At 52.0% G+C, this 20,222-nt stretch overlaps 1 protein-coding gene across 125 annotated transcripts in view, besides 2 other annotated features; it reads right to left on the reverse strand.

The window, feature by feature from the left end:
* CELF4 (CUGBP Elav-like family member 4) overlaps positions 1-20,222 on the reverse strand; it is a 322,955-nt gene that overhangs the window by 128,964 nt on the left and 173,769 nt on the right. The gene's annotated exons all lie outside the window — the stretch shown is intronic.
* Positions 944-1,732: an enhancer, noted in NCBI's record as "H3K4me1 hESC enhancer chr18:34952714-34953502 (GRCh37/hg19 assembly coordinates)". NCBI's record gives its function as "activates a minimal SCP1, AML or CMV promoter by ChIP-STARR-seq in naive H9 embryonic stem cells {active_cell/tissue: H9 hESC(naive)}" and the evidence as "EXISTENCE:reporter gene assay evidence [ECO:0000049][PMID:30033119]".
* Positions 1,733-2,519: an enhancer, noted in NCBI's record as "H3K4me1 hESC enhancer chr18:34953503-34954289 (GRCh37/hg19 assembly coordinates)". NCBI's record gives its function as "activates a minimal SCP1, AML or CMV promoter by ChIP-STARR-seq in naive H9 embryonic stem cells {active_cell/tissue: H9 hESC(naive)}" and the evidence as "EXISTENCE:reporter gene assay evidence [ECO:0000049][PMID:30033119]".

Raw genomic sequence — 20,222 nt, forward strand, 5'->3', positions numbered from 1 at the left:
TGACTGAGGCTTATGCCTGACTCAGGGGCCCAGGAAGAACAAGGTTCTTGGGCCAGAAAGGCCACATGACAAGCCTGGGAATGCATGCAGTTCAGCAGCTCTGAGTACACTCTTCTTAATGTGTGCATGGTTTCTTTTCAATGTGCAGTTGGAGCTTGTAAGAACAATAACATAGACAACCGAGCCTTAGAAAGAGAATGATGTTCTACTTTTACATTGTTGGTGGGAGTGTAAACTAGTTCAACCATTGTGGAAGACAGTGTGGAGATTCCTCAAGGATCTAGAACTAGAAATACCATTTGACCCAGCCATCCCACTACTGGGTATATACCCAAAGGATTATAAATCATGCTCCTATAAAGACACGTGCACACGTATGTTTATTGCGGCACTATTCACAATAGCAAAGACTTGGAACCAACCCAAATGTCCACCAATGATAGACTGGATTAAGAAAATGTGGCACATATACACCATGGAATACTATGCAGCCATAACAAAGGCTGAGTTCATGTCCTTTGTAGGGACATGGATGAAGCTGGAAACCATCATTCTGAGCAAACTATCGCAAGGACAGAAAACCAAACACCGTATGTTCTCACTCATAGGTAGGAATTGAACAATGAGAACACTTGGACACAGGGCAGGGAACATCACACACCGGGGCCTGTCGTGGGATGGGGTGGAGGCGGGAAGGATAGCATTAAGAGAAATACCTAATGTAAACGACAAGTTAATGGGTACTGCACACCAAAATGGCACATGTATACATATGTAACAAACCTGCATGTTGTGCACATGTACCCTAGAACTTAAAGTATAATAATAAAAAAACAAGAAATCACAATGAAAAAAATAACCATATATTTTCAATGGAAACAACCATTTATAAACAAACACAGCATAGATTTAAATGACTTGCTATTACTTATGAGACTCAACTGGGTATATGTTTAATAATTACCCAGTCTCCAGATAAGATACTGATTATTTTTAATGAAATAAAATAATTTTTACTTATTAACCTGAAAAAAAAAAAGAGAAGGATGTTCTCTGGGTGGGGCAGGGTCCTGCCTTAGCATGTGAATTAGTGTGACCTGTTGAGGGCTGGGGTGAGGAATATGCCAGGGGAGGGACAAGAGCCCCAATCATTAAAGATTTCAGCCAAGAAGACTCCATTCAACAACCGACACCCTTACACTCCCTTTACCTGGTAACTCCACTTACATCTCACAACAAGCCAGGAAGACATGCAGGGAAAAGGTGATTCCCATGTTACAGATGAGACACCAAGGCAAGCCAGAGAGACTGAGGCTGGAGTGGACGCCGCCCTGGTGAGTGGTGGCAGAGCTGGGGCCACTGACTCTACTCTCTGTTGCATGCCACTGCCAGCTCCAATGTGAGCCAGGTGAAGACTGGCCCTTTCTCACTGCTGGTTCCCATCAATCAGGGCATCAGCAAGCTGGTCTCGACTGAGGGTGTCTCACAGGCGCAGCCATGTGCCCAGAGCCCTGCCCTTCTGATTTCAGATGTGGAGGGGACGACCAGGCTCTTATACAACCTACCTGACTTGACCACAAACAGCCCATCCTGGCCCATCACTACCTGAGACCCTGGACGGTGGGGCACTGGGCATGGTCAGGACAGAGCCTCTGCTCCCTGGGGAACTTTGTTGGAACAAAGAACATGCTAATGGCAATGGTGATGGTTAGCATCAGTGATGACCAGCGGGTGTGTGTATTTCCACTTGATCTTCACCCCAGTCATGTGAGAGGAGCATTTAGGACCTGCATTTTACAGATTAAGAAACTGGCACAGGGAGGGTCGGTAATGTGCCCAGAGCGAGCCAGGTCTAGAGTGGGCTCTGTCCCAAAACCTCCCTGCCAGGTTTCAGACTCTAACAGTGGGAGGGGCTGGAAAGCAGCCTGGGGAGGGTCCAGGGAGGCTGTCCAGGCAGGGCATCATGCCAGCAATGTGCAGAGGATGGGGGTCCCTCGTGGGAGTGCTCCCACTAGGCACGTGAGAGGCCCAGGTGGGCAGGTACAGGACCCATTCCCAATACCACAGCCTCTGTCAAGCTGCCTGCGGACTCCCAGCAGCCAGATGATCTACAGTTGCTGGCTCAAAGATGTGCTTTAATCGAATAATGATATTGGGGAGTGAGGAGTCACCATACATCAGCTCTCACCAAATGAAAAATCCGAAGGATAATGTAGGAGGTGAGAGATGCACTGGAGTGGGCATTTTACCGAAATCCACAGCAATTCACATGCCAGAAAGGTGGCTACCCCACCGCCCAGCCACTGAGATCACAGGTGGCTACTGTGTCCCAGACCCAGCTTGGGCAGAGAAGTTCCCCGCAGGTCCCCACCTCTTCACTCTCCACCTCACCATGCACCCTTCCTTAGTTCAGCCCTTTGAAGCCTCAATGTGACTAATTTGTAGAATCAGGAGGTGAGGCTTTGAGCCCTGCACCCAGCGAGTTTGGGGTCTGTGCTGCCCTTTGCCAGTGCACAGGGCGGTCCTCACTGCCTGGTGCAGGGGCTCATGCAGCTCATCTCCACTCTGACATCCGGCTCCGAACTTCCACAGCTGGGGCTGGAACATCCATATTCCCTACCCTTCTGGAAGCCTCCTGAGGAGCCCACTCCTCTCTGATCCGTAACTTCACTGGCAACTGAGAGGCTCACTGCCTGTTGTGGGTGGCCAGGTCTGCATATTGACAATGACAATATGCAGACTGACAATGACATGCCAGTGTGCAGAAGCAGGGGCTCCCCTGGTCTGGCCACCATGTGTACAGAGGGTGAGCACTCCCAGGCACTCTGGAAGACGTGGGGGCATTGTTCTGAGTCAGTCTCTGATGGAAAAGCCTTAGGAAGACCATCGTGTCCCTTCTTGCCCGGTTCCTTCTCCCATGGAAGGGAGGCACAGAGTGGATAAGCATTGTCCTTACCCAGCACTGAGTTCAAATCTCCCCTCTGCTTCTTACCGGCTTCCTACTCCCAGCCAGTGGCCCTGCCTCTTTGAGCTGCAGCCCCATCCTCCAATCCTCTAAATGGTGGGAGGAGGTTATGAGGTCATGTAGTTCAGGGCCAATACTGGGACAGGGCCCAGGTGAGCAGGCACTCTTGCAGTTGGAGCATGGTGTGTGCATGAGTGTGTTTCTGTCTGTGTCGTGCGGTCTGCCTGTGGTGTGTCGGCCTGTCTGGCCTGTGATGTGTGTCCTCAGGTTGGGTGTGTGTATAGGGTGAGAATCACTTTTCCATTGGCTGCAGCTGGCCTAGGCAGGGGAAGCTGTGTCTAGGTTGGGGTGGGGGCATGAGAGCCCGTGGGTGCATGTGTGTGTGCTCATGCGTCCTCCAAAACCTCCTTGCCGCAGAGTATAAATATTTATACAGATACCTGCCATAAATCTGCCTGCCTGGCAAACAAATGAATTGCAAAGGTAACTTTGTGTGTTGGGAGGGGGGCATTTACAAAAGTGCTCAGTGATGGGGTTGAAGAACACCAAAGGAAGTAAGCGATGACGCCGGCTGGACGGCTCTCGGGGCCAGTACCAGGGCAGCAGCTAGGTCACCACAGGGCCTTCAGGGCTGGTTCCTTCAGCAAGGGGGCAGGGACACATCCTAGGGAGCCCCCCACTGGCATGGGATAAATGCCTGAACCACCCCACCAAAGTCAGCTTTTCCTGACCTCCGATGCTGATGCTGTCCAAAGAGCTTGGTCCCTATAGCTTACTTAACCCTCCCCACCCCTGTGAGATGGAAACTTAATATTTCCAGACTGCAGAGAGGGAAACTGAGGCCCAGAGAAGGAAGAGGCTTCCCTAGATGGCAGAGGCAGGATGTGAAACTGAGTCTGAGCTAGAGCCCTGGCTCCTACCAGTATCCTGTACCACTGCCCACCTGGCCTCTGGGAGCTCGAGGCCTGAGTGTGTGGGATGCAGCCGGCCTACAGCCAACTCCTTTAGGGCTACAGCCAACTCCTCTACTCTTCCACCCCCAAGCATCTACTTCTAATGACTGCCCTCTCCGTCCTCCCCGGTCCCAGACCCTGGCCTGGGGAGCCTTCCCCATTCCAGCCCCTCCCCATGGGCTGGAGGAGGCCTTTTTAATTGGGTCCACAAGAACTTTATTACTGGGTAACTAGTTCCTTTGCTTTTCCTGTAACAAATTATCCTAACGATGTGACCCGGGACCAGATGTTAATTGCAATGGAAAGTAATCAATTTCTTTTACTGAGCACAGGCTCCTGGGCAGGTTTGTCAGGAGCAGAGCCAGGCTTCTTAATGAGGAGGGCACTGGAAGTATCCATCCCAGGCTGCCTTCACCTTCTTTCTTCCTGACCAGCCCTCACCCTTTCTCAATAAGGGCAGTGCCTGGCCAGCCCTTTCCCAAATGGCAGCCTCCCACCTCTTCAGGCCATGTCCCTTTTGGGCCATCTACCTTTCAAGAGGCCAACTACCTTCCTCTGGCTTCCTATCCCCCAGGAGATCAAGCTTAGTCCTCCCTCCTGGCACATGAGGCTTCTGTAATCCGCTCCAAGCCCCTGCCTGGCTTGGTGTTCTTCTCTCCCTAGCCGGGACACTGCAGCCCAGCCAGGCCACTTCTCTGCCCCTGCAAACCCTGCATCCATTCCCACCTCTTGCTTTCTTCTGCAATTCTGCTCTCTCCTGGGTGTGCTCCCCTACTCTTCTGGTCCTAGCTCAGTCTTCCTCTGGCCTTCAAGGCTTCCGTGTCTGCAGTGCTGGGGGCTTGAGAGAACCCCAGGAAGGCCCCCCTCCATTTCTGTTCTGCCATAATCCATCATCCTCAGGAGTGTGGGGCTCTGGGTGAACGCAGGAATCTTGGGGTCTGGCCTCACCTTGGTGGAAAATAGGCAAGGCCCTGGGGCCCCCACAATGCAGCCTGCAGTGCTTGCCAGGCTCACCTTTCAGGGTGCAAGGGAGGGTAGGTCCTGTTTTCCTCTGGCCTGGCAAGGGTTGGGATCGTAAACTGGAGTTCAGTTCATGCTAGTGGATGAATTCTGCAATGTGCTCTGTTAGAGAAGCTCTGCTCAATTTGAAAGCAGAGCAGAGGAGAGCCCCTCCCTACCTCTGGGTACACCTGGGTTAATAATGAGTCTGCTTTCAGCAGGGGGCACAGCAGGGAGCATCCAGGGATGGGGGAGTGGGCACAGGGGAGGGTGGAGGGGAGAGGGTAAGGGGAGGTGGAGGAGGGAGGACAGAGGAAGATAACTAAAGCAAGGAGGAGAAATAAAAAAGGAAGAGAAAAGGCAAGACAAAAGTGGAAAGAAATGGAGAAGGAGAGAGAGAAAAAGGAGATGTGAGGAGAAAAAAGGGAGAAGGGAGCGGCCAGGGAAACAAAGGCATCCTGAGATGCAGGAAGGCAGTGGTTGGGCTGGTGGAGCAGGGCTGGCAGGTGCAGGGGCTGTCCACTGCCTGGTAAGACTGCCTGAGGACGGCCTCCTGCTTCTGCAGGACCCTGAGGTCTACATGTCCCAAAAAACTGCCTCAGTGGAGTCCAACCCTGGCTGCATTTTAGAACCTCCTGGGAGCATCAAGGAAAAACAAGAAAAAAGAAACAGAAGGAAGAAAATCCCCCTTCCCAGACAAATCCAACCAGACCAGTCTGTGGGACCCAGGCATGGGATGCTTCTCACGAGCTCCCTGGGTGACTGTAATGCTCTGGCCCCAGATGCAGGGCAGGCTGGGCTAGTGCCAGCTGAGGGGTCGTTCCTGAGGCTTAGAAATGAGAGGGAAGCTGGGAACACGGTGATGAGAGAACATGGAGAACATGAAATGAATGCGCACAGATCTGGCTTCTGACCAGGAGCTTGCGACTGGGCTTTCAGGAAGACGGGTGTGTTCCTGGGGACATGTCTTGAGTTACTCAAGTCGAACTCTGCCTTTGGGGTTGGGGTCAGAGGCAGGACCCTTCTCTAGAGTGTGCTTGGTTCCCCTTGGACCCTGCTGGGAAGGATGCATTCGTTCTGGGGCAGGGCTGATGCCACTGGAGGAAAGTGGGTTTCTGGGATATGGAAGGGCAAGGGCGGAAAGGGAAGATAGGCAGTGCTCTCAGAAGGAGATGGGGGACTAGGGGGAACAGGAGAGCCACAGAGGAGGCAACAGGAGAGAACCTCTAAGGCAGTGGAAAGCAGAGGTCCTGAGTCCAGCGGGGACCTTCTCCTCCTCCCTGCGCCCCTACGTCAGAGCTGGCTGGGCTTCCAGGAGCCTCGTGCTGGGTAGGGGAAGATAGTCACACCCCTGGTCCTCACTGTAAGACACGAAAGAGAGCAGCTCCCACTCACCTTGCCCACAGGTTGACCCTCTCCCCAGTTCTTTCCCCATGGTGGACCCCTCCTCTGGAGAGCAGCACTCCCTGGACAGAGGCTACGAGAGGACTGCTCGCCCCACGCCCACCCCAGGAGCGGAAGGTGCTTTCTCTGCCACCCCTTGCTTGTTGCTTGGGTCGCAGGAGGTGGGGTATGGCCCGACAGTGGCTCCGCAGGGCTGGGCCACCCCCACAGAAGGGAGGCCAGGGAGCCCAGGGAGGGGGCAGGCACAGAGAGGGCCATAGGGGTGGCCAAGGACAAATTCCCCCGACTTTACAATTTCCCTGTGAGTCTACAATTCTATTAAATAGGATAATGGATTTTAAAATGCCCCGAAAAGCAGAGAGTGCTGTAAGATGGGCGGCATTATTGTTATTAACAACCGCATCCTTCTTAGAGCGTCGAGAGGAAATAAATCAGACAACACTAGCGACAGGCAAGTCCCGTGGAAGCATTCATTGCCATGAAATAAACACATATATATTAGAAACCCCAAATTAAAGGGAAAGAGCACTTGGGGGTAAGCCATGCTTTTATTTTTTAGGGTCTTATTAAAACCCACAAATGCTGGGAAAGCCGGTCTGAGCTGATTGGCTCATGTGCAACCAGAGTGGGGCTTGCCCAGGCTCACAGAGGAAGGAGTAGCTGTGGGGGTGCACTGCCCCACGAGTCAAAAGCAGGCCCTGGGGACAGCATGGATGGGGCAGCATGGGAGGGGGCAGGAAGGCCGGGCTGGGCTCCAGCCAGCCAGCATCCCTGAGCATCTAATTTCATGGTATCAACCAGCCTTTTGTTCTCTGCAAGGCTGATACATCCCCTTCACCAGAAGGTCTCCCAGGAGCTCCCACCCTCCCTGGTCTTCCTGTCTGTGTCTGACCATGCTGCTGGCTCTTCCTCACCTGGGGGCTTGCACTGCTTGTCCTGCTTAGGCTAGGAGATGAGCCTCCCTGCAGACCTTAGCAAGGTGTCTGGGGCCTCATCCAGTTGTTCACCTGCCTCCCCCGGGGCCTGGCCTAGGCAGGCACCTAGTGGGTGCTGTGAAACACTTAGTTGAATGGAGGATTGGATGAGAGCAGGGATAAACAGTAAACTCCCTAAGGCAGAGGCTGTCTTCACTCTGTTTTTCCCCTTTGGCCCTGGCGTGGGTATGCTATTGAGGTGCTAGTGTGGAAGCTCAGGTGGGCTGCCATCCTAAAAGGGATTGGGAGTATTATTTTTTTCTCTCTTACCTCATTAAGCTTAGCTTCCAATTACGTGTTAATGATGCTGGCTGCCTTTTGTAGGCTGGAGTTTACTGCAGTGTCTTTAAATTTAATCACCTTCATAATGGCCAGCTCTGGCATCACAAATAAGAGGCCATAAGCAAAAAAAAAAAAAAAAAAAAAAAAAGGTACTATCCTTTGCTCCTGTATATGCCAGCAAGATCTGGGGTCCCATGGAAGCCAGAGAAATCCTTTGATATCTCCCTAGCCTAGAAAAATTCTAAGAAATTCTGAGAACTGTCTTTTGGGACCTCAAACTGGGCTCCCTCTGCTTCCTTGCTCACAAATGCACCAAGAGGAATAAAGGTCAGACTCAGGGCAGGACTTACTGCTTGTGCTGAAACATGAGCAGAGCTGGAGAGGTTCTCCTGAGAGTGCTTGAGAGATCTGGTGACACACTCCTGCTCTCCCTCCAGCTCCCCATTTTGTGTGCATGGAGCATGGTGTTGGAGAGAGGCAGAGGGGTGGATTAAACATCTGATATTCAGGGAACCTCAGTGAGGGAGGCCAAGATGCTTTCCTGCTCCGGGGTTCCTCACCCTTAGACCCACCCTTCCACTCAGAGGGTGGATGGGTTTCAGGGACTCATGTGTTCAGGACCAGACCTTCTGTCCATGTTCTTCACTGAACCAGAGCCAGGCCCTTTCAGCTTGTGGCTGGTGCCTCCACTCTCCCGTCCAGTTGTCCTGTATTTGATTTGAACCCAAGGTTGAATTACTGGTGCCAGGCTGGCACTCCCAATGCTGTTGTGATTTCTCAGATGCAGAGAGAAGTTCACCTGCTCTCACCTCCCTCTTGGACCAGCTGCCATCCCTCCCACTTCTTGACAAGCACCACTCCCCCAACTCCCCACTTTATCTGTCACTGTCCCTCTGGGGAAACTTCCCCAGTGCTTATGTGGTGCTGAGTCTTCTCTCCTATGCCTCAGGTTGAAGGTCTATGTTCAAGCTCTCTCTCCCAACTACTCCTCCCAAACCCATTCTCATGTCTTTGCCCAATTGCCCACTCACGTCCTTCTCTGTACTCTGGCCTCTGGTACTCCTGCCACCCATCTACAAGTAAACCATCAGTCATTCTTCCACCTAGCATCCATTATTAATCCAGCATCCATCCACCATTCATCATCCATCCATTCTCCATCCATCTATCCATTCTTCCATCCATTTATTTATCCATCTATCCATCCATCCATTCATCCACCATTCATCCATCTATTCATTTCTTCATCCATTTATCCATCCATCCATCTATCCATCCATCCCCTGATTTAGTCATCCATCCATCCATCCATCATCTAGTCTTCTATCCATTCCTCTATCCATTTATCCATCCAGTCATCCATCCATCCATCCATTCAACATCTCTCCTTCTATCCATTTCTCCATGAATCCATCCATCCATCCATCCATCCATCCATCATCTATCCTTCTATCCTTTCCTCCATCCATTTATCCATCCATCCATCTATCAATCAATCCAGTATCCATCATTCATCCATCCATCCACCTATTCCTCCATTCATCCATGAATTCCTCTATCCATGCATCCATCATCTACCCACCATATATCCTTATGTATCCATTCATCAACCATCCACCATCCATCCATCTATCCATTCCTCTATCATCCATCATCTACCATCCATCCATCCATTCCTCTATGCATACATCCATCATCCCTCCATCTACCATCAGCCATCCACCATCATCCATCCATCCATCCATCCATCCATCCATCCATCCATCCATCCACCTACCATTCATCCACTCAACAATAAGTATCAAGGGCATGCTTGATGCCAGGCCGTACACTAGTACTGGAATAAGGTCTAGTCGTAGACTGCAGGAGGCCAGGTAGGAGTAAAGAATGTAAGCAATCTATTAGGCAATTATGTCACAAAATCAGACAAGGCTTCCTGTAGGAGGTACTCTCTAAGTTGGGCTCTAAAGGGCAATGGAGGAGGCCCTCATGTTCTGTTTCTGCTTGACTTAGGCCCCCTGGCTCTGAGTTCTGAACTCCCAGAATGCTGATGCTTGTATCACATTATATGGGGGCTCTGGAAGGCAGGAAGCTCCTTGAGGTGGGAGCCTTGCAGGCACCCTAGGGTAGGGACTGAACACTCCTTCACATGAACATTCCTTTAGAATGGGAGATAGAGGAGGCAAAACCCCCATTTGAATGGGGTCTCTCTGATGGCAGGGATGGTTTTCTCTATTTGTCCTCATCTTTCCCACTACCCAGGCCAGGACTCGGATGCTGGAGTTTTTAGACTGTGATTGAAGGATGTCTTTAGCTGCTTTGCTGACTAAGGAGACCTCCATGCCTCACTGCTGCCCTCTGGGTCAAGGCTCAGATTCCTGTCAGCCCCAGCTCTCCCTCTGGCTTGGCCCACTACCTGCATCTATGAGAATTCCTAGCAAGTTCCTGTGCGGTCCCAGTCTCACCCTGAGTGCTTTACCACTGGCAAGTCTTACTGAATATTTACTGATGGGCCCAGTGGAGCCAAGCAGGGAAGAAGACACAACCCAGGGATTGTAAAGGGGGCCTTCATGTGCTCTAGGCCTGGGAGGAGGAGCCTTGGACTGGGAAGGTGGCCTGAAAGTTGTAACTAGAGTTAAAGGCTCACTCTTTATGTTAAACCTGGTGGTCCTTAAATTGACCTGGTAGGGAAGTTAAAGCAAAAGTAAAAACAGCAAACATTTACTTAGAGCTTATCATGTGCTGGCACTGACTGTTCTAAGTGCTTGACTTCTGTTGACAGAATTCCACTTCACTATGAGGCAGGGAATGTTACCATCCCATTTTACAGATGGAAAAGCTGAGGCACAGAGAGGATAGGCAGCTAGCCCAGGCCCACAGAGCTGGCATCAGCAGTCAGCATGTGCAGTTTGGCTCTTGAGCATGTTCTAACCACTCTCCTTCTCTGCCTCTCTTAGCAGGAGCTCTTTCAGAGAATGGGAAACACAGGTCCAGAGAGGTTCAGACCTGCCCTCCTGACACACACACAGCAGGTCCATAACCAAACCAGGCTCTGTCTTAGGTACGATGATCCCAGACCAGGGGCTCCTCCCTCTTCACCATGTATCCTGGGCACTGGAGAATGCAGACCTGCTGGCCCACTGCTTCCAGAGCCCCTGTTTACCCCTTTCACCAGGCAAAGGTGGTGAATTCACACATGGGTGCATGTGTACACACATGCCTGAGTCATGCCTTTTCTATCCAGAACAAAACTAGCAAGCAGGCTGCCTTTTTCTCTAGAACACAAATGAACACAGAACTGAGAAGTAGGTCATGAAGGCCCTTAGGGTTTATTAATCCCTTCATTGATTCAACAAACGTAAAATATTTACAGTCCGTGTATTAAAACTCTTGTGCACTTTGCTCATAGAAAGCCCACTCTAGGGCTATTAACTGCCAGTTTACAAACAATGTTGACAAGCTGCTCACCTGCCCCCCTCCACAGAAATGTAAGCGCCCTGACCCTGACCCTGGATAGAGTGTGGCCCACTCCTACTCCTGGGTGGCCTGGTCATTCCAGTTCCCATCGTTAGAGCTGATTTGCCAGCTCTAACAATTTTATTATATACATAACAATATTATGTATGTAATAGTACATACATGTATGTATGTATGTATGTATGTATGTATGTATGTATTATTTTTTGTAGAGATAGGATCTCACTATGTTGTCCAGGCTAGTCTTCAACTCCTGGGCTCAAGCCATCCTCTGGCCTTGCAAAGTGCTGGAATTACTTATAGGCATGAGCCACTGTACCCAGCCACTGATTTAATCATACAGGCCAGGAGGCGCTGAGAAAGGCTGAGGCCTGGCAGACCAGGCAGAGCAGCGGCCACTGGGTGAAGCAGGAGGCTCAGGAAGGTAGCAGGGAGACGTGGGTGGTGCTGCAGCAGGAAATGGCCCTGTCCCTGTCCTGGGCATCCTGACAGCGCCACCCTGCATGGAGACAAACTGGGGGCAGGAGGAAAACTTGGTTTTATACTGAATAAGGAAACCGAGAGCTTGGGGTGCATTTTAGAAGGATGTTTCCTTCAAGCAGTTAAAATGAAAGTTTAAAAGTTTTGATGCTTGAAGGAGGCAATCCTCAGCCAGCTGAAAACTCTGTTATACATAATACTTAATTTCCAGATGGTTCATGTATAATACAGAAGTCTGTAATATGCAGCCCCAGGAATTTTTCCTCCCATGCCAAATGCCATGTGGCATCTGTAAACCACTCCTTTCTTTTCCAAGCACGTCCACATCTCGTTTGATTCCCATGATAGTCTTGTGAGGCAGGGAAGTCGGGTATTAACCCTATTTTACAGAAGAGGAAATAGAGACCCAAAGGGGTGCTGTGTCTTGTACAAGTTACAACTGGGACCAGCCACAGGGCCAGGGCTCTGGTGGGCTAGTCCAGGGACCCTGCCAACTCCTGAGCTCCTCTCCTTGCTGGCTAGGAAGGCGGCAGACCCTCAGCGATTGGAAAAGCAGGAATTCTCCCTAAATCCACCATGTCTGCCCTGTGGGTTGTGGCGGTGAGGGGGTGGGGGGCGGTGCGTGGAGGCTGGTTCTTCCTCCTCCTTCCAGACACCCTGCTGCACTGACGGCTCCTCCACTGCTCCCCACGGTGCTGAGCTTGTCCTGCCTCCTGCATGGCTAATTGGGAGACTGGGCAGAGACGCTCAATGCGGGGGTGACAGAGAGATAGATACATGGATTGATTGATTGACGAGAGGAAGTCGTACAGGTTGGCTAGTGGGAGGGGGACAAATTTGGCTTCCCCAGGCTTGTTATCTCATTTATGGGGCTGGGGGAGGGGAGACACTCTGTCCTTCCTGAGCTGCTAAATGCTGTCACAAAAACATTTATTAATATGCAAATTCTAAGTGGCAATCTGGACCCAGTCGGGTTGTGCTAATTTGCACATTAATATCTGTCTTCAGGCCGGCCTCCGCTCTAGGGAGGGAGGCAGAGGGACTGGGGATGAGGACAGGGGAGGGAGGACACATAGGTGGGGCAGGGTGTAGAGGGGCCCTGTTGGGGGCCTGTGGCTTGTCCAGACAGGGGCGGGCAGGGACTGAAGCCAGCCTGCAGCGGAGGAACTGGAAAGCACCGAGACTCAGCAGGTTCAGAATGTAATGTAGACACAGGCCTGGGACACTGGCCTGGAGGTCCCCTGGGCCATGTTGGGAGCCTTGCCAGGAAAGGGACTCTGCAGAAGCCTTAGCCTATGGAGGGTGGTGGTGTCAGGAAGCAGAGCAAAGTGAAGGTGGTAGGAGAAATAAATGGGGAACATCACGGGTCACTTCAGCTGGCCAGAGTGGCTACTGTCATCCCACTTGCCATCATGAGCTCCTTTACTCATGAGCAGAATGGCTAAGGAGCCCCTCCTGCTTTATCTGCTCCTTCTTGGACCAGGACCCATTCTTCACACAGGTCACCCAGTGAGGTGGCCAGTCCTGCCTGTCCCAGAGCCACCTGCCCTCCTCAGTGGACTCATATCCCTCATTAAACTTACTAATGAGTACGGAACCATACGTCTCTGATTTGCTGGGTCAGTCCTCATTCCAAGCCTTTTCTCCCTTTGTCCTCATAAATACACACTTATATTTGTCAGGCTGTGTGTCTGATTTTTTTGTTAAGGAAATGTGATCACTAGGCTGGGCGTGGTGGCTCACGCCTGTAATCCCAGCACTTTGGGAGGCTGAGGCGGGTGGATCACTTGAGGTCAGGAGTTCGAGACCAGCCTGGCCAACATGGTGAAACCCTATCTCTACCAAAAATATAAAAAATTAGCCGGGTGTGGTGGCATGTGCCTGTAATCCCAGCTACTCCGGAGGCTGAAGCAGGAGAATCTCGAATCGCTTGAACTCGGGAGGCGGAGGTTGCAGTGAGTGGAGATCAAACTGCTGCACTATAGCCTGGGCAACAGTGCAAGACTCCATCTCAAAAAAAAAAAAAAAAAAGAAAGAAAGAAAAGAAAGAAAATGTGATCACCTCTAACTAGATTAATGCCGTGGTGGTGGCAATGATAGGCATGTCAAGGGAAGTAGGGGTTGCTACTGGCTGTAGTTTCTCCCCATCTTAGCTTGTCCATGCCACCTGGTTAATCAATTAGTCAGTAGTCAATTAGGCCAGTAGTTAACTGAGCCAATGTCTCCCCTCCCCTCCACCTCCCCCAGCCCACAATACCCTCTTGCCTACTGGCTTTATTCTAACCTGATTCATTCTGCAAACCCTGCCTTGGGCATGGAGCCAGCCCTCCCTGACCTCCTGTCCAGAATGCTTTTTCTATGATATTGTGCCACACACCTACAGTTTTGTTTCTCTAGTGGTTTCAAGTGCGAATCCTGTTTTCCCATCTACATGGGAGCTCTCTGCTCCACAGTACCTGGCAGAGACCCCACATGTGGACTATTTTCAATATGTATTTATTGATTTTCCAAAGTACTTTCATCAGTTAACACATTTTACCTTCATATAAGTCTGTGAAATGACAAGGCTGTTATTTTCAGATACTACACTCATAGTGCTCAAGTGTGACATTTATTGAAACTTCAAAAGTTTAGATTTAAGAATTAATTTAATCCAAATAAACTAAACTTGCAATTCTAAATATGGCCACCAGGTGGTGGAATCTACCTTGGTATATTCTTTTTGCTTTGGGCATATTACCTGGAGATGATGAATGAATGTATTGATTTTTCTCACTCTTCTGCCACCTTAATTTGCCTACTCTTATATTCCAGGCACATACCCCGCTGTCCCCCTAAAGAATGTCTGCTCTGTGGACCTGCAGATGTACAAAGAGGATGACAATTATTATGTGATGTGTTGAAATAAACAGTGTTCTGGAAGCTTAGAGAAAGGAATAATTAACTCAATGAAGAGGAAGCCTTTACAGAGGTGGCAACATCAGAATGAGGTAAGTAAGGAGGAAATAAGGTGAGAGTGGTGGCTTACAGTGGTAGGAGGCTGAGCGAGGATACCTTGCGGTCGTGGGGAGAGACGGGAAGGCAGTGCTGTGTGGAGAGGCCAGCTTGAGGGAGAACCAGCTTGAGGGAGAACCAGCTGATGGGAATGAGGAGAGTGAGGCGGAGAGCCGTACTGACTCAAAGACTGTCTAGATGATGGTGCCATTAACTGAGAGTGAGAACACACGCTTCCCCACTAATTATCCTTAGAAAAAGTCAAAATAGAACTTTTGATTGAATTAAATTAACTTGAACATGGTGCCATTAAACGAGATTGGAAAGTCTTCTAAAACAAGCCTATAAAGAAAAAACACCTAGGTACAATTCAGTCCCTTTCTCAATAATCTTTAACTGTTATGGTCCTAAATAGTCTCTCTTTTCCTAAATAGTTTCCTCTCTAGGGTTTCAAAGAAGAAGCCCTTGACTGCATGTTCACCTCTTCACTTTGTTCTCATACCTCAGGGTATGTACAGAGTGGGGCTCTGTGAATTCTCTTAGCATTAAAAAGGTGTTATTGTCTTCTGTAGGACAAGTTTGTACTCTCTCTCAGTGACCTGAAGAAGAAGCCACTGGCAGGCAGAAATGATGGACTGTGCCTCTCACTGGTCCTGGGGCTCTCTTGGCGATAGAGAGACGGCACGCACGGGGCTGAGCCTGCTGCGCTGTGGAGGCGGCTCCCCAGCCCCGGCTGGCCTCAGTGGAGGATGTGGGGCTTTTGCTTTGATCCTTGCCCATGGTACAGATTCTAGCAGTAAGAAGAGACAGATGGCCCCCAAGTTCCCCTGGTTCCTTGTCCTGGGCATTACTTTGTGCTGCCCCTTCCTCCCTGCCTTTTCCCGGCAACCAGGGCCATCCCGAGTGGGGGGCTGGGCCAACTGAACCCCATGGTGAAGCTGAACCCATGCCTCTGGGCCAGGCCTTGCTCCCTCCCCAAACCAGCAGAGCAGCAAGGGGCCCTCACAACCTGCCCTGGGACCCTGGCTGGCTTCTGCCTTGGTGGGATGAGGCCTGGATACCCAGAACCACACGCAGCCAACTGCTTCCTTGACCTCCAGCGCCCCTCTTCTCACGGGAGGCTGTTGTTCAATCCTGGAGATTCAGGATCCAGGGCCCACCTCGTGCTGGGCCCAGCTGAGTCCGGCTTGCCAGTCTCCACCCCGAGAGGACTGAATTCAGTTGCTTCTTCCAACTCCTTTGGACAAACCCAGAGTCTCGATGTAAAGTTGAGGACTCTGGTCTGGGGCTTTTTCTGGCCTCAGGAGGCTGGTGGAAGAGTCCAGGGCTGGCTGAAGCTGCAGGTTTTTCCTTGTACCCTAGCAGCCCTTCTGCGGGTGGGACTTTGTTTTGCAGCATCCTGAGCAGATCTTCATGTCCTGCTTTCCAGTCTGACCCTTTGCTCCTTCCAGCTGTAATCCCAGTAGATCTTGGTGCTGGCCCACAGCATCCCCAATCCTGGCGAAGGAGCCAAGGGCAGGGAGCCCCCTGCACTCTCTCATCAGAACAGAGGAAAGTAGGGCCTCATCTCACCTGGCCTGGGGCTGGGGGAAGCCAGCTTTCTCCCTAGTATTCATCCAGACCCTCCTCCTTCCCACCAGCTGATGAGGTTCTGTGGCCCTCTGTGGCCTTTATTGTCATTGTCCCTGCTTTAATGCCACACTCGGTGGAAGGCAGGAGTTGGGGGAGGGGGGAGGGTACTGTACAGCGCAGTGTGATTTGGGTAAATCCTTTGGGGCAGGTTTCATTGAGGGGAGAGAGGAGGGATCACCTGAGGTGTGAGAGGGGCTTCTCTAAAGGGAAAAAGAAAGGTGAGGCTGAGGTCTTCAATGCCAAGCTCAGCACATCTGTCAGGCTTGGTCCTAATGGTGCCAGAAGTCATGCACCATTGCGTGAAGAGATGGGGTAGGGAATACTGTCCCTTCTCCCCAAACAGGCCACCTGTGGCCTCTGACTGCACTCTGACGCTTCCTCCTTTCCCAGCTCCTCCTCTGTCTCCCTCTGCCCTTTGCTTCTCCTCTTCCCTCCCTTCCCTCCTCCTTCTCCTCCTTTCCCCCCTCCTTCTCTCTCCTTCTTCTCTGTCTTCCTCCTCCAGTCTCTCCCATCCTCCTCCTCTTCCTCCTCTCCCTCCCCAAGGCCAGTGGTGCCCTGGCCCTGGTTAAACCTGGTGTCATGCCCTCTCTAGCTTTCCTGTTGCATTTCTCGGTTACTAATGAGCTCAAGACAGCAGCAAACACCCTTCTAGGTCTGCTGCTGTCATTCATTAGCATAATGGGCCATACGAGAAGTAGTTATTGCAATAAGTGCGGTGGGGAGGGAGAAGCCAAAAAGTCCAACTTACATGGGAGTAGGGGGCCTCCCAGAGCCTCCACAGAACATGCTGAGGATGCCTCCCGAGCATGCCCTTCCAGTCTAAGCCCCGACACCCTCTGCTTCTGCCTGGAGCACCTCAGCCCTTGTCACCCTGGACCCTCTTGTCCAGGAGACCTTTTGCAGTGCCCTGAAGGGTGACCTGGGCCATGTCATCCATCGGTTAGTTACCAGGGACTTCCTGGGTGCTCCTGTGCACCTCTTGATGGCTCTTTCTGAGGCTTCCAGTGAAGGCTCTCGGAGGCACCACCCAGCACCTCATGAACAGACTGGGGTCCTGCCCTGGTGAAACAGGGTGGGAGTTAGCCCCCACCCCAAGTTCCTGATGGTTGGCTTAAAGTGAGAAGAAACACAGAGGAAATGAGGGGTCACTATGGTTGAGAGTTGGAGATGCACCTGAAACATGGAGCAGGCACCAGAGGCTGCTCTCAGGCTGTCGCTGTCTTGCTCAGATGTGACGAGATGGGGACCAGGTGGGGCACGGTGAGACATTCAAATTACTGATACCAATCTCCTTCAAGCAGCCCAGCCCTTCCCTGGGCCTCCCTAGATCAGATCAGAGTCCACACCCACAGGGCAGCCAGTCGGGCTGCCAAGCACTGCAGGCCACCGGAATGTAGGGCTCCTAAAATTTATGGCTAGACTTTATGACAATGGAAATATTTTTTTAATTGAGCCTTGCACCACCATTACACTGCTAATTTAATTATTCCCTATATTTCATCCATCACCATCTGATCTTCAGGAAGCAAATAGCTTGTCTTCTTGACAAGAAAGCACCAAATTGATTAAAATGTGTGTGGGAGGGGTGCTGGGCTGTGGTCTGCTCACCATGGCTGGACCTCTGGGTATGCTTGGGGGAGGTGGGAAGCATAGAAAACAGGACAGATGTCCACTCCCCCGTGCACCCACACACACCCCTGAGGATGGTCACCGCATCCTGCCCTCCCTGCAGCCTCACTGTCACACTGAGCGTCACACGTACAGGAGTGTGAGCGTGCACACAGTCAGAAATTTATAGACACAGCCTCCAGTATACCGCAAAATGCTGCCCCCACCCACACTGAATCTGGCACATAAAGCCATGCACAGTGAATCCACCCTGGTCACAAACACACACAGGCACAGAGTCATGCACGACTGTCTCACTCAGGGACACTGTCAGGAAGCAGTCTGGACTCCTCACGCTCACTCACGCTGCACAGATCCTTCAGGGATGGGCCCATGGAATATTCTGGGGCTCCAGGCTTGCTTCTGTGCAGGGTTTGGGGCCTCAGCCTGTTCTGTCTCACCCAGGAGTGAAGGCACAGCAGCTCTCTGCCAGCCAGCCCTGTTGGGATGGCCCCTCTGCCCCTGCTAGCTCCAGGATGGCTTCTAGGACACCTTGTCCACGCCCCCTCCCCACATGCTGTAGGTGGCATATGTCCATGAGCGTGCGCCACATGGGAGCCTGCAGCGTGGGTTATGGAGGCGCCTGAAGGAGTGTGGCTGCGTGTCGTGTCAGTTTCTCCACTTGATTCTTCCTCTCGGTTCCAGGACGCCCCCGACAGCTCCCAGAGCCCTGGGGATGAGAGAACTGGGAGCCACGTGTGGCAGCCCCCAGCCTGTCACTTCGGCCATCTCTTGGCCATGCCCTGGCTGGGATTTCCTAGTAGTTTTGTGCATGTGGGTCTCCTCACTCCGGCTGGAGGGTAGCTCTTTCAGGGCAGTTACTGGATTTTCTCCTCTTTTTCCCTCTGCTGGGCATGCAGGGCTGGCTAAGGCATGGCCTGTTGACTGCGGCACTCCTACTGTCCAGGTGATGGTGAGAGCACCTGTCATGTGCTAGGGTGGAGGGGGCTTGGCAACAGTGCTGGTGAGCAGAATTAAGCTGGGGGCAGGGGGCTGGGCAGAAATCTCTGGGGAGTAATCAGTAAATACTTACTGACTGGCTGACTGAGTGAATGGGTGGATGATTAAAGCAGCAGCCAGAACAAGAGCCAAGCATGGGTGGCACCTGAAGGTGGACTACCTGCTGAAGAGCTGGGTGGACGGGAAGGCTGGTGGTGGTGATGGGGCGGGGAGGGGGGGCAGTGCTGCTGGCCGGCACAGCAGTGGCAGCACTGCTATTAGTCATCGTGAAAGCTCCAGGTGCCCGGTGCAGGCCCAGCAGACCCCTGACCCAGCCTGATCAATCCTAATGGAATGGAGCAGAGGGGCAGCCGCTGCAGGGAGCGGGCCACCCGTCCTCCCTCCTGTCCCCGTCCTTGTAACTTTGTCAGCTGTCACAGCAGCCCTGAATGTGGAGGCTGCCTGCCTCAGTCATGTCTGGTCTCGTTTGGCCGGCCTGAGGTGCCACCAGACAGGAGACGTAGGGAGGAGAGGACAGGGATGGACCCCCTGGGGAGGGGTCCCTAAATCACAACCTGCAGGTGGCAAGCATAAGAAGCAGGCAGGGAGAGAAGCCTCTTGGTGAAAGGCCCCTGCCTTTAGTTCATATTTGTCTCCTGAGGGGGCAGAGGGTCAGGGACCCCAAACCTTTTCTTAACCATCTAGGACACATGGACACATGCCCCGGCAAAGCTGCCCCTCTCTAAGGAGCAGCACCCTTGCCCGTGCCTGCAGGAATGGACCCTGGCATCCCTTGCCTAAGCAGCTGTCTGCTCTCTGAAGCTCTGCAGCAGTGGCAGCCTGCTCTGCTGGGTCTGAATGCAGGCTGGGCCCTCCTGGCTCAAGGTAGCACTTGCCAAGGTCCCATGTGGTCGAACAGTCTTTGTGCTGGAGTGGTCCTGTCTTCCGGGCTGGGCACCCTCCACCCCATGTCTCTGTCATTGCCATGATCTGTTCATGTGTCTATCTCCCCCATCAGACCATGCCTTCCCTTGGTTGTCTTGATGTCCTGACCCATGGCATGGCGACCAGGTCAGGGTCCATGCTCAATAAATGCTGGCTGGTCCACGTAGTGAATTCTCGCCTGAATCCCCTCAGGGCCTTGCATAGAGCTTGTTTTCTGATTGTCAGAGAGGATGCCACCAAGGGCAGATGGCAGGACACTGAGTGTCTGGGGGGAGATTCAGGACACAAGAGAGGCACAGCTAGGATAAGGCTCCGAGCAGCTCAGAGGCTGCAGTGAGTGTGCTCTGCGCAGACAGGAGCAGGCAGTCGGCACCAGGCGTTTTCAGCTGCGGAGTTTCGCCTGTCTTACCCCACCCTGAAAGCCTGGATCCAAGGCACAATTGGTCCCAGGGTGGCTTTTAGTGTGCAAGGCTGAGAACCAGAGGGGTAAACCATAATGCCTGCAACTGG

Source organism: Homo sapiens, chromosome 18 (assembly GCF_000001405.40).
Source record: "Homo sapiens chromosome 18, GRCh38.p14 Primary Assembly".
Classification (NCBI taxonomy): Eukaryota; Metazoa; Chordata; class Mammalia; order Primates; family Hominidae; genus Homo; species Homo sapiens.